The 13,574-nt window shown below is 42.7% G+C and overlaps 1 long non-coding RNA gene across 1 annotated transcript in view; it reads left to right on the top strand.

Moving 5' to 3' along the window:
* LMCD1-AS1 (LMCD1 antisense RNA 1) overlaps positions 1 to 13,574 on the top strand; it is a 280,512-nt gene that overhangs the window by 138,413 nt on the left and 128,525 nt on the right. The window lies entirely within an intron of this gene.

Here is a 13,574-nt window from a genome sequence, read left to right as displayed (position 1 = left end):
CATGTCCATTTACAGTTCATTGACGAGAACTAGTCACAGGGTCTGAACCCTGAGTCCAAGGAAAGCTAGTGTTTTCATCACATAATCACGGAGACATAATCCAAACTATGATTCTGATTTCAACCTGGACCTTGTATACAACTTGGGAGCACATGCTAGTCCTGTCATTTCCTAGCCTGTGAGTCCAGTAACATTCTGGGACTGCTAACTCATACCTAGAAAGAGCTCTTTTCCTCATTCTAGATATCCTACTCCTACCACACACCACCCACATAGAGCAGAGGTTAGGGGTAGGAGTGGTATAGTTCATTAACTCTCAATTTTTTTCTTCACAGGAATTAGCATGCATGTGGGGGATTTTTTTTTAAATTTTTGTCTTTTAATCTTTCTTCCAATCCCTCAAAGATTGGGAAGAAGACTTGTGGCAGTTGAAGCATCTTTTTGCAGGATACAGAAAGGAAAGGGACTAAACCAGTATCTATTTTAGCTAGCAGGGGAAAGATAGTAACTCCAATATGTTAACAATTATTCTACATCACTGTCATCAACAAATGTATGCTCCATCCATCCATCCATCCCTCCATCCTCCATCCATCCATCTAGATTGTAGTGATCCTAGGCCAAGTACAGGGCCCTTGAAAGTTAAAGAAAAATCTCTTAGACCTGGTTAGTCTTTTCTTATTACCCTTCTCCTTCAACAGACAAATTGTTTTGTCTATCTTGGTTTTGTTAACATTTTCATGTGCATCAACTCTGCTAAATTTCAGCCTCCTTAAGGCTTTGAAGGGTTTGAGTTTCATTCACTTCTGTATTGCCAGCATCAAGTCAAAACCTGACTCAGAAGGGGTGCCATAGATATATTTGGGGTGCATGAGTGAATGCTTCTCTCCACTCAGCCCTGCAAAACCAGTTTGGTTGGGAGCTGAGTTTATTGCTCTAACAGCCTCTTCACAGCTTTGTCCCAGGAAGTTCTTTCCACCCTGAGGTCCCTGTCTTTAGGAAATGAGTGATTCTGATGGTGGCCTCTAGATGACCACACCAACAGTCAGGACCGAAGTTGTTGTTAAGAGTTTGCTTCGGAAAAAAAAAAAATCCTATTTGATTCAAAATTTTCTATAGCCCTGTGTAGGAATTAGCTTAGGAAAAAAAAATGCCCCTCCTTTCTGCTTTCTTTGCGTGCCTCTCTTCCTTCAGGCTACTTCCAAGTTGTCCCTTGGCCATCATCCCTCTCATCCATACTGAGATCCTACTTTTTTGTGGCTGGAGCTCTCACCTCCATGTCTCCTCTTTCTATTTTCCCCCAAATATTAGGCCCATATTTTCAACTTCTATCTAGACACATTGACAGGGTATTCCACCCACACCTCATGCTCAGTGTGTTCCAAACAGAACCAGACTTATCTGTTTTAGTTAAGGATATGGTTTGGCTGTGTTCCCACCCAAATCTCATCTTGAATTATAGTTCCCAAAGTCCCCATGTGTTATGAGAGGGACCCCGTGGGAGGTAATTGAATCATGGGGGCTGTTACCCTCATGCTGTTCTTGTGATAGTGAGTGAGTTCTCATGAAATCTGATGGTTTTATAAGGGGCTTTCCTTGTCATTCACTCTCATCTTCTCTCTCCTGCTGCCCTGTGAAGAAGGACATAGTTGCTTCCTCTTCCACCATGATTGTAAGTTTCCTGAGGCCTCCCCAGCTATGCAGAACTCTGAGTCAATTAAACCTCTTTCCTTTATAAATTACCCGGCCTCAGGTATGTCCTTGTAGCAGCATGAGAATGGTCTAATACAGTTAAACATACCACATTCTCTCTCCACTCACACTCAACACCCCAGAGTCATGTTCAGCTGTGCTCATTTGCCATCCTCCCACTTCCAGGGCTGGTCCATTGTCAATGCTGTCTCTTCTCCAGGGTGACTCACCCATCATTTACTTTCACTGTTAGACCTTCGTACCCTCTTCTTGCTATGTTTTGACTATATAACTTCTATCTCTTATTTTAATTTATTTTTAACTCTTCCTGTTCCTTCTAGAGAGTCCAGCTAATGACATTTATAAAATCACTTCTATATTATAATACTGTGAATGGTTCTATTTGCACTCCAAGTAACTTCCAAATACTAGTGTAGCATCCAAGCCTTTGGCCATCTGTCTCCAACCTTACCTCCACTCCTATAGTCTTCAGCCAGACCACACTACTCTTTCTTTGACACCTCAGACATGGCTCATGTCACTTCTTACATATGCAGAGAAAGTTACTCAAATCCTTATGTGAAGACATTCTAGTTACTCTTCAAGTGCCAGTTCAACTGACTTTCCTAATCTCTACAGTGGGATTCAGTCTTGCCTTCCTATAATTCCAACTCAGGTGTAGCAAGAAGATTTCATCTCAGGAACAAAATCTGGTTGGTTAGTAAAAGCTGACTGGAGAATTGTTTTGAGAAGGATTCTGAGGCTGTATCTAGGCTCAACGGGAAAGATTGTCATGTTCATTAGCAATGTCTGTCTAGAGCATGAAAGAGGGATTGAGACATGAATGTTGCCTAGATGCCTTCTGTGGTCTCCCTTTGTCTTCTCTTATGTATGCAATGTCACTTACACTAATTGTTAAGTTCTTTAAAGGCATAAATTGTATCCTGCTGAATTATACACCCGATTTTTTTTTTTTTTTTAGAGAGAGTCTTGCTCTGTCGCCCAGGCTGGAGTGCAGTTATATACCCGATTCTTGAGTTTACCTTCGCCATGTCCTAAGATCATTAGACATTCCAAAATGTTTGTTAAATAAATCCCCTAATGCTTGATATGCTGTTTAGTTATAAAAGATTGAAGAGCTGTGAGCCCAGCTGTGATTGCATTGATCAGGCAGCTGTATTACATTACAGTGTCTACTCCTTCAAGTATCAGTTTGCTAAGGAATCTGACTGTGCTGACTTGAGAACTCCTTCTGCACTATTACCTCTGGTGATTAATGAGACCAGGCACCACTGGATGAATGGATGACACCCAATACTCCACTATTACCTGTAATGGAATTAACTTACAAGTAGCATTGATAAATTCTAGTTTTAGGCTTACTTTCCATAGGCCAGCAAAGCAAGTTGTCAGCTACTAAGTCCCTTAGCCAAAGTAAAAAGCCAAGAGCTGACTTGAAATACATCTTAAAGGAAGGCAATATTGATTTTGTGATCCTTAAAATGGCCCAAACTTAAGATAATTTAAAAATTGTGCAAATAACTATAGAATTTTAACTTCTGGGTTTTGTTTTCCCAGATATATACCTTAAGTATTTCAATTTGTCTTATGACATGGTTTTCACAAGCTACTTCATTCTGCTCCCTCTCCTCTGAATATCTCTATCTGGTGATGTACCCAGAATTGGTAAATATTCTAGATGAAGCCTGACCAGTCAAGATCAAGGTCAAGATCAAGAATAATATCTCTGTGGTCCTGTACTCTATATTTCTGTCATTACAACCTAAGGACACATTTAATCTCTCAGTGGCTACATTACATGTATCATGAAATTGATGGACACTTGAAATTCCTCATCAGTAAAAAATATCTTATTTCAGCTTGAATTGGATAGGCCTTTTTCTCTTTGTCAGAAGATCTAGTGCTATCTGGCCTAGTCTTTAAAGGGAAATTATTGGGAAATGTCAAGAGAGAGGTGAATGTCTGGCCACAGTACGATGTCATTGAGATTCTATTTCCGTCTCTTCATCCTTCAGCTCCACATTTTCTGTACTGGCTACACTCTCAGACAGTCTCTCCTCTCCTGGAAGCAGGATGACTGCAGCATCTCCAGCATAAATTGTTCTTGGTTCAAGTTTAACTGCAGAAGAAAAAAGCACCACTTCCTGAAAGTCCCAAATAAACCCTGGAATTCATTTTGTTAGAAAAAACTTGATTGTGTGGTTTTTGAACAAATCACTGTGTCTTAGAGGATTCAGTGAGCTGACAGACCAGCCTGAGTCATGTGCCTCAGCACTGGAATTGTGCTGGGGACCATATGTTTTGAGTAGGGGAGAGGATAGTTCTCTTCAAAGAGGTGAGGGCACTATCACCAAAAAGGCGGGAAAGATGCTGCACAGACCCCAAATAGCCAATGGTCTCTGCAACACAATTATTCTTTAAACTTCCTAAAGGCAGAAATTATGGCTTATTAATTTTTTAACACCCCCATCCTACCTTTAACAAATGACATAATAAATGTTCCAGAACTGGTTGTTGATTGAATGAGTGCATGAACCAATGGCAGCAAAATGAGTAAATTTGAAATGGCTTAACGTTAAAAATATCTTTGTCTCTGACTTGATGCCTTATAAAATATAGATCAAACTAACTTAAAAGTGTCAACCATGTTTACATGAAAGAAAACAAAAGTATGAAAAACTTGATATGGCATTACAAGGACAGTTTTCTCTGCAGTACTAGTGAGGAGAAATGATATGTCTTAAGTGCAGAGAAAGCAGAACATTTTCATCTGGGACAAAAGAAATGAAAACAGCTTGATTGACAGCCTAGTAACATTAATAAACTTCGAAGGTAGAGAGCTGCTCTTACTTTAAACATCCCAGAGCAATTCTATCAGAAGAATAAATACTCTGTATTCCAAATTCAAACACTTTCAGTTGCCTTTGGTTGAGGCAATTGTATTCTAACAGCAACATGGCAGCTTTAACAAGGTATTTACATTTCTATGTAAAATCTCAATATTCCCTAACTCTGATTCTATCCCCTCTTTCCTTTGAGGGTGCTTTATTTGACACAGTGTGGTATTGGATCCTGTAGGTACCCATATCCCCTGGCCTCTTTACCATTTGAGTGCACTCTGGCCTGACTACCAATTGCCATTTCTACATCTCCATCCAGGGTTCTCTCTTGACTGCTGGAGCAAGATGCCTGGTGGGCTGGGAGGGCCAGATAACGAACACCTTTGTGAGCTTTCCTCAACCAATGATGGACTGGAATTGGTGGATAGAGCCTCCAGAGGGCTCTTGTTCACCTCCAATCGGGATGACTTGGAGACGTGATCTAACACTGACTTCCAAAGATTCATCAGAATTAAGCTCCAGTTTCCCATCGTTCCAACTTGCTCAATCACACACCAAATGGTTTTCTTCCGTTCTCTGCTTTACCTCCCCCTCACTTTCCCGTATCTTCTGAGATTACTCCCAAATAAACTACTTACATTTCAATCATTCCAATCTTGTCTCAGGGACTGCTTCTTGGGGAATCCAAAGTACAGCAGTTGTTTTCAAGGAAGAAAAGTTATTTTCAGCCCTTAGACTGGGTTAATCAAATGTCCTCAAATCACGAAGGCAAGTGTCCCAGTGAGGACAGGGAAACACACAGGCATAGGTTGGGTGGGTAGCCTGGAGATGCGTGAGGATATGCTGCCCCTGAGGCCTCAGCAATGGCTTTTATGGTGGGTTTGATGCCAGCCAGTGAGGGGAGATCCCTGGACAGCAGCAGGACCTCAACCCTAGGGAATGTTCAGGCTCTTGACACCATTGGAAGAATTTAAGGATGAGTCAGAGAGTAGCGAGAATATAAGAGCTTTTATTGCAAAGCAAAAGTACGCACTCAAGAGAAGAGTGCCCCACAGGGTATGAACTTTCCTTTATTATGGGTTTTCTTTAATTAGAGGGTGGTATTCATTAGATTCTATAGAAGGGACGGGGATTTCCCTGAAATGAAGTGTCATGCATTGTTATACCAAACCTGGGCATATTCAGAACTGTCATGGTGCCCATGGGTGTGTGATTTAGCATGCTAATGACCGTATAATTATGTTCTAGGTGAAAACTGGGTCAAATCTAGTGCCATGTTGGGTTTGGATTTGGCCTGTTTTAACCAGCTTTTGCCCACATCCTGTTTGTCAGGGACTTATCAGCCCCTTGCTGCTACAGCTGCAGTTGGTTTTAACAGTTCCTTCCTCACCAGTCATGTGAGTCTTTTTTTTTTTTTTTTTTGAGACAGAGTCTTGCTCTGTCACCCAGGCTGGAGTGCAGTGTCACAGTCTTGGCTCACTGCAACCTCTGCCTCCTTGGGTGTTCAAGCAATTTTCTTGCCTCAGCCCCCTAAGTAGCTGGGATTACAGGTGCCCGCCACCATGCCCAGATAGTTTTTGTATTTTTAGTAGAGGTGAGGTGGGGTTACACCATGTTGGCCAGGCTGATCATGAACTCCTGACCTCAAGTGACCCGCCCGCCTCGGCCTCCCAAAGTGCTGGGATTACAGGCATGAGCTACCACGCCCAGCCTCATGTGAGTCTTTAATGGCTGCCTTGCCTTAGTTGTTCCCTCATGACTGTCCTGTGACCACCCTGTTATTCCTTTCTCAGGTTGAGATGGGAAAAGCACTGATGTTCTCTAAAGCATGAGAACTGGGAGCAACTGCAGTCAATGGACACCCCTGGATGGATGTTCCAGGGAGGAAAGTCCATGCCAGAGAGGAATGTGGTCCACGATATCTCAAAGCTGGCTGTGAACCCAGGCATGCCAGCTCTGGAGATCTGGCTTTGACCCAGGGATGGGCACAATTTCTCTGAAAGGGTTAGATAATAAATGTTTTAGAACTTGCAGGCTGTATTAGAGTTTTCTAGAGGTACAGGACTAATAGGATAGATGTATATATGAAAGGGAGTTTATTAAGGAGTATTGATTCACACGATCACAAGGTGAAGTCCCATAACAGGCCGCCTGCAAGCTGGGGAACAAGAAAGCCAGTCCCAAAACCTCAAGAGCAGGGAAGCCGACAGTGGTATAGTTCAGTCTGTGGTCAAAGGACCAAGAGTCCAAAAGCTAAAGAACTTAGAGTCCAATGTTTGAGGGCAGGAAGCATCCAGCATGGGAGAAAGATGTAGGCTGGAAGACTCAGCCAGTCTATTTCTTCCATGTTCTTCTGCCTGCTTTTATTCTGGCCCAGCTGCCAGCTGATTAGATTGTGCCCACCTAGATTGAGGGTGGATCTGCCTCTCCCAGTCCACTGACTCAAATGTTAATCTCCTGTGGCAACACCCTCACAGACACACCCAGGAACAATACTTTGCATCCTTTAATCCAATCAAGTTGATCACAGGCCATAAAGTTTCCCTTACAACTACTCAACTCTGCCTTTGTAGCAGGAATGCAGCATTTGACAACACCCAAACAAATGAGCATGGTTGTGTTCCAATAAAATTTTATTTATAAAAACAGAGGAGGGTCAGCTTGGTTCTTTGTAGTTTTCTGATCTCTGCTCTAACTCCACTGCTTAACATTTTTATATAAAAGGTTGTTTTTGGATACAGGAGCCCAATTGTGAGGTTTTGGTGTGGGTTTTCTGACAAGTCACACGTAGTATGTACTTCTTTGTGGTGGGATATTGGGGGATAGAGTGTGAAGAACAGGGGGATTAGGGTATAGTGTGGGAGGTAAGATGGAAGAAAAAGGAAAAAGCAGAAATGGGAACTGCAAGTTCAAGCATAGTAATTCAAGGCAAAGGTGGGAGAGAGAAGCACTAAATTCTGACCAATATTGTAGGGCAGCTATAAGTAGAAGGAACAGGTTTAAGAAATGCCATACAATTCAACTTTATAGGATTCAGGCTTTATAGTGTATGTTGTAGCAGCCACATTTAATAAAAGTATGTTTTTCATTATATTTTTATTACACATTTAAAGCACATTAAGGCCCAAACAGCTATTGAAGAAGAAAAAAAAATGGAGAAACATTGGCTTCACAAGTAATCACATCAGTTTTCAGGAAGGCTGTATTTTATGAAGACAGAGAAAGATGCATGGCTGTTGTCCTTCCCAGTTTTATACTAACTCATTCTTCTTCAGGGAACAATATTAATAGATGTTTTGCTACATTTGTCTGCTGTTGAGAGAGTAATCCTCCCCGCAACCTTTTCTTTTCTTTTCTTTTTTTTTTAAATCATGGATGTTTAATCACTTGCCTTTGAGTTGCAGGCAACTGTTTGGCATTTTTAGTCTGTAAAAAATCTGCTTTGTTGGGGTTTAAAAAAAATAAAACCCATTTCAAGAAATTGTAGCTTGAAATTATTTCGGGCTCTGAGAAGCTATGTGAAATCCAGTGATATTTGACTGCATTTTAATTCTTAGTCTCTGGGGCCAGGCAGAGTTGGTCAGAGACAGCAGGGATGCCATGCACAGTTGTGAGGTTGTGCGTTACACAAATGCACCTGAGGCTGAAATGTAGCCTGTGCTCTGCCTCTAATCCTTGTGCCCTCTGTCTTGGAGGAAAAAGCATTTTTTAAAAATTCTGAATGTGGTGACCACTTACAAAATGATGGCCTTTGGGACCACCACCAGTCAGAGGTGGTGATTTTTTCTTATTTGTGTTTTCCAGTAGTGGGGACAGGGATGTGGAGCTTTGCAGATTGTGTATCATTGCATTTAGGATTCTGCTGATTATAGGATGCCCCACTATTTTACGAACAACTAGGAAACACAAGACGCTGCCAACCAAATCCTGATATGCCATTCATTGATTGTAAGACAAATGCCGGTTTCAAAGATGCCAAAAAATGAAAAAGATACAATGCAGTAATTCATCTGCTGGAGAGTGTGCACCTTTCTTCAATAACCGTGAAGGTGCCAGTGCAGATGAAGATGAGGATGAGGATGAGGTTGGCAAGCCTGTGACGGTGAGGTTAGTAAGCCCCAGGGAAGGTTTCCACAAGATTTTGTCTGTTTCTTGGTATAAACAGTATCACCAAACTCTCTGTTCTCCTATAGGATGTCAACTGATTGAAATTCTAATAGAAGTAGAAATGTGGAATGTTAGAGCTCAAGAGACCCCCGGGAGCATCTCATGCAGTGCTTCTGAAAAACTTGGCCCCTTGGGGACATTTATCAATATCTGAAGAAATTGTTGGTTGTCACGATGGGGTAGGGGTGCTACTGGTAGCTTGTGGGTTGAACCCAGGGATCCTATTAAACTCCTTCAATGCACAGGACAGCCCCCACAAGGAATTATCTGGCCCTAAATATCAATAGTGTTAAGGATTGAGAATCCCTGATGCAGTGGGAGGATGTATAGCCGAGATATAAGAACCCAGACATCAGAGCCAGGCAGACCTGAGTTCAAATCCCAGCTGTATACTTAATTTTCTGTGTGGTCTTGGGCCAGTTAATTAGTCTTGTTAAGTCTCAGTTTTCTCTTCTGTAAAATGAACATCATAGCCTCTATTTTAGAGGGTTGTTGAGAGCATTAAATAAGATAATTAAGGCAAAGGTTATAAAGACAGCACAGCAACTAAATCTAAATTCAAATGCAGTTGTAAGTGCTTTTATCCATACTAACTAAATTGGCAGGGAAAGTTTGAGGTAGGGATTATTATTATCTCCATTTTGCAGATAAAGAAATTGAGAAAAATAACTTGCCCAGGTCATTCATGAGTAAGTGGTGGAGCCAGGATTTGAATCTAGATCACGTGTTCCCAAGCAGCCCAATCCACCCTATAGTGCCTAAGGACTTAGGAAAAAGAGGCTGCTAGTAATATCGTTATTAATATTATTCAACCCGAAGCCCCTACTTACAGATGGTGACTTGGCAGGTTTCCTCTTGAGAAGACAGTTGACTTGGCAAGTTCCTGGGTCTCCTGCCCCACCAGAGGATAAGTTTCTTTCTCTTTACCATGTGGTCTTTGTCAAGGAGCCAATATGGAACCCAAAGTGGGGCAGCAGGAGAAAAGCCAGACCATACCCCTTGCTGAGTGACTTTGAATATGTTTTGTGACTCTAGCTCTTCTCACTGAGATATTGGGGAGGTAATCACATCTACCTCACAGGGTTGCTTGGGCAATGAAATCAGGTTTCAGCTAACAACACATACCTGGGCACTGGGCATGTGGGCTGAGTACCAGGGTCCTGGAGTCACAGGGAGCAGCCCGCCATGATGGACATTTGGAGGTAGAAGGAACTGGAGAGTGGCTTTCGAGATGGCCTTGCCAGTCCCTTCTGGACCTTGGAAGGTCTCAAAGAAGTACTCCTGGAAACTATGGGAAAAGGGGATAGTCCTGGAGTACCCTGGCTTGGTTCTGGCTTCTCAGACTCACTGATGTGAGATAAATGCTTGGGGAGGAGGATGAGGGAGGGAGGAAGGGAGGAGGGGATGGAAGAGAGAGGCAGGCAGGCCTCATGGAGGAGGTTGGACTCCCCAGGGCCCTGAAGAGCTTCTATTAGGTGGTGGCACTACTAATGGATGTAAGCACATGCATATGACCATGGAGGCAGAGGGAAGTCACACAAGACATACAGCACAGAAGGCCTGGTGAATGGGCATCCTCCCTGACACACGACAGGGACAGAGTGACAGCATAGAGCATGTGGGAGCTTGAGGTTTGAGTGAGAAAGGTCTAAGGGAGGCGCTTTAGATCTCAGAGTTGTGAGGAGCCTTAGAGCCCCCCCACCCCATCAAGCTCAGGCTGGAAGCACTTCCATGTGAACTGGGAACCTGACTTTGCATTTCCCCAAATGTTGTTACAAAGAGGCAATATCGTATAGTGGTTAGTAAGTAACAAGCTCTTTTGTCATACTGCCCAAGTTCAAACCCTGCCTTGGCCACTTGCCAGCTCTGTGGCCTCTAGTAGTAACTTAAACTTTCAGGGCCTCAGTTTCCTCATCTGTAAATCTATCTCCAAAGCATGTCAACTGGATTAAATGAGATACTGTGTTAAAGCCCTTAGCCCAAAGTGAGTGCTCAATAATGTTTACTCCTTTTCCTATTATTTAATAGAAATATTATTGTTACTGTTATTAAATTTATTTATTCCAGCAGAAGCCATGAAAAAGTTATGCTCTGGACTCATTCAAGCCAGGACTAAAATCCTATCTGTCTTCCCATTCATGAGCCATGTGATAGCAGGCCAGTGACTTCATCTTCTGAGTTCATTTTCTTACCTGTGTAACAAGGAACATGATGCCTGCCTTACAGAGTCATTTGGGGATTAAAGCAGTTAACATTCACAACACATTTGGTGCTTACTATGTCCTTATTACCTGTCAGTTTCTTTCCCTTCCTATCTCCCTCCCCCACTACCTCATTGTCCCCAGAGGTGAGTCCTCAACTCACCTGCCCAAGATCACACAGATGGAAAGTAGTGGAGGCAGCCTTGAACTCGGGTCTGTTTGGGCCCATCTCTCTTGCTTTTCCCAATTGATCATGCCTGCCTATTGCAGGAAGAATAGGGGGACAGAGGAAGAGTGACCCCACCTGGAAAATTTATAATTCATGGGAGGCTCCGGGGAGGGGCACCTGAATTCTGAGATGCCTGGGCATGTCCAATATCTTCTTCATGGAAGCACTAGATGCAATAACAAGAATATCCATGCCATTTGTGGGACTCTTGCTCACGTGTTATTTCATTTGCTTTTTCTGGTCACCCTTGAATGTAGGCCTGGCAGATATTCTTGTGTTCACTCTATAGAGGGAGAAGTGGAAAAATCAGGAAGGGAAGAAGCTTGCCCAAGGTAGAGCAGGATTAGGACCAGAACCCAAATCTGGGCCTCAGTGTCCCCAGTCCAGTGATCTTTCCACTCTTGAACGTAGATATTCTCATGTTCATTTTATAGAAGGAGAAATGAAAAAATCAGGAAGGGAAGAAGCTTGCTCAAGGTAGGACACATTAGAACCAGAACCCAGACCTGGGTCTGGGTGTCCCCAGTCCAGTGATCTTTCCACAACATCCAGGTGCCTCTCCTTACTCTCTTGCACTTGGCTTAATTAACCCTTACTTTCTGTTCCCACACACTCCCCACTTGTGCTCACCCTCATCCTGACCCAGCTGTAGATTCATCTCCTGGAAGATCATTGAATCTGGCTAAGCTCTGGCATTACAGCAAATAGAATCAACTTATGCTTACTCCTTCCAAATTCTCCACTGACGCAGCTATAAATTGAATAATGACAAAGCCCAAATAACCTGGCAGTCAAGACAATTCAACTTGAACTGAACATGCAGGGAGTAGATAATACAGGAGGAAAAAATCTCAAGCTTGATCCTCAAAATGTGAATCTGTTGTCCACCCTCCCCTATGACCTTAAGCCTTACCAGGGTCTTGGACTGAACTAGCTGTGTGGGAGCTAGGAATACTGTGACTGAACAGACATGGTTCCTACTGACAAGCTAAGACTGACTTAAGCAAAACAGGAATTTATTGGGTGACTTAACTAGAAAATCTAGGGGTACCACTGCATTCAGGTATGGCTGGATCCAGGGACTCAAATATGACCACTGAAAAATCTCTCTCTCTTTTTGAGCTTTGCTTTTCTCTGTGTTGTCATTTTCTCAGTCAAACCCTCCCAAAGGGTGACAAAAGTCATCATCAGCAGCACTGTGCTTACATAGGAAGCAGACTATGCCACCACCATAGTAATCCCATCAGGAGGAACATATCTTATTTTCAGTACATCTAGCAAAAGGCTTTGGTTTTCTCTAATTGGGTTAGGCAGGTTGTGTGCCTCTCCAGAAATAATTGTGTAGGCTGGGATATGTGTATTCTCATTGGTCAGGTTTGAACTATATGGCCATCCCTGGAGTTGGGGGGGTGCATGGGGTCAGATTCAAAAATCATATTAGTTGAAAGTAAAAGAAGAGATGGGTTCTATGACCAGGAAAAGGGGTTATGGACATCCTACAAAAGAGCAGGTGGCCAGTACATCTCCTAGCCTCGGCTTTCTTAAAATTTCCTTTAAAGATTATAACCTGATGTATACCGTTTGAACAGTATTTCTTGTTTGGTCTGATCTAATTTCCTGATGAAAAACTGGATAAACTCTTTCTGCTTTATTGGTTTATATGTCCCAATTACATTATATAATATCAGTAGCTTCTTTCTGATCTGAAAGTAAAGTTGAAGGTATTGTTTCCTGAACACTTATTGAGAGTAAAGCCAGTTGGACTTCTGGGTTGGGTGGGGACTTGGAGAACTTTTCTGTCTTACAAGAGGTTTGTAAAATGCACCAATCAATGCTCTGTAAAAATGCACCAATCAGCACTCTGTAACTAGCTATAGGTTTGTAAAATGGACCAATCAGCACTCTGTAAAATGGACCAACAGCAGGACATGGGCGGGGACAAATATGGGAATAAAAGCTGGCCACCTCAGCCAGCAGTGGCAACCCACTTGGGTCCCTTTCCATGCTCTGGAAGTTTTGTCCTTTTGTTTTCCACAATACATCTTGCTGCTGCTCACTCTTTGGGTCCACACCACCTTTAAGAGCTGTAACACTCACTGTGAAGGTCTGTGGCTTCATTCCTGAAGTAAGTGAGACCACAAACCCACCAGAAAGAACAAACTCTGGATACACTATCATATGCCAAAAACTGGACTTGATTTTCCTAGTGGAATTTGGTGTTTACCTCCTGTCTTAGACCATTCAGGGTGCTCTAACAGAATATCATAAGCTGGGTGGCTTATAAGCCACAGACATTTATTTCTCACAGTCCTGGGGGCTGGAAGTCCAAGATCAAGGCACTATCAGATTGGGTGTCTGGTGAAGGCCACTTTTTGGTTCACAGATGGTGCCTTCTCCCCGTGACCTCACATAGTGGAAGGGATT

Source organism: Homo sapiens, chromosome 3 (genome assembly GCF_000001405.40).
Source record: "Homo sapiens chromosome 3, GRCh38.p14 Primary Assembly".
Taxonomy (NCBI): domain Eukaryota; kingdom Metazoa; phylum Chordata; class Mammalia; order Primates; family Hominidae; genus Homo; species Homo sapiens.
The sequence above is the reverse complement of the archived record's forward strand: the minus strand, read 5'-3'. Positions and strand labels throughout refer to the sequence as shown.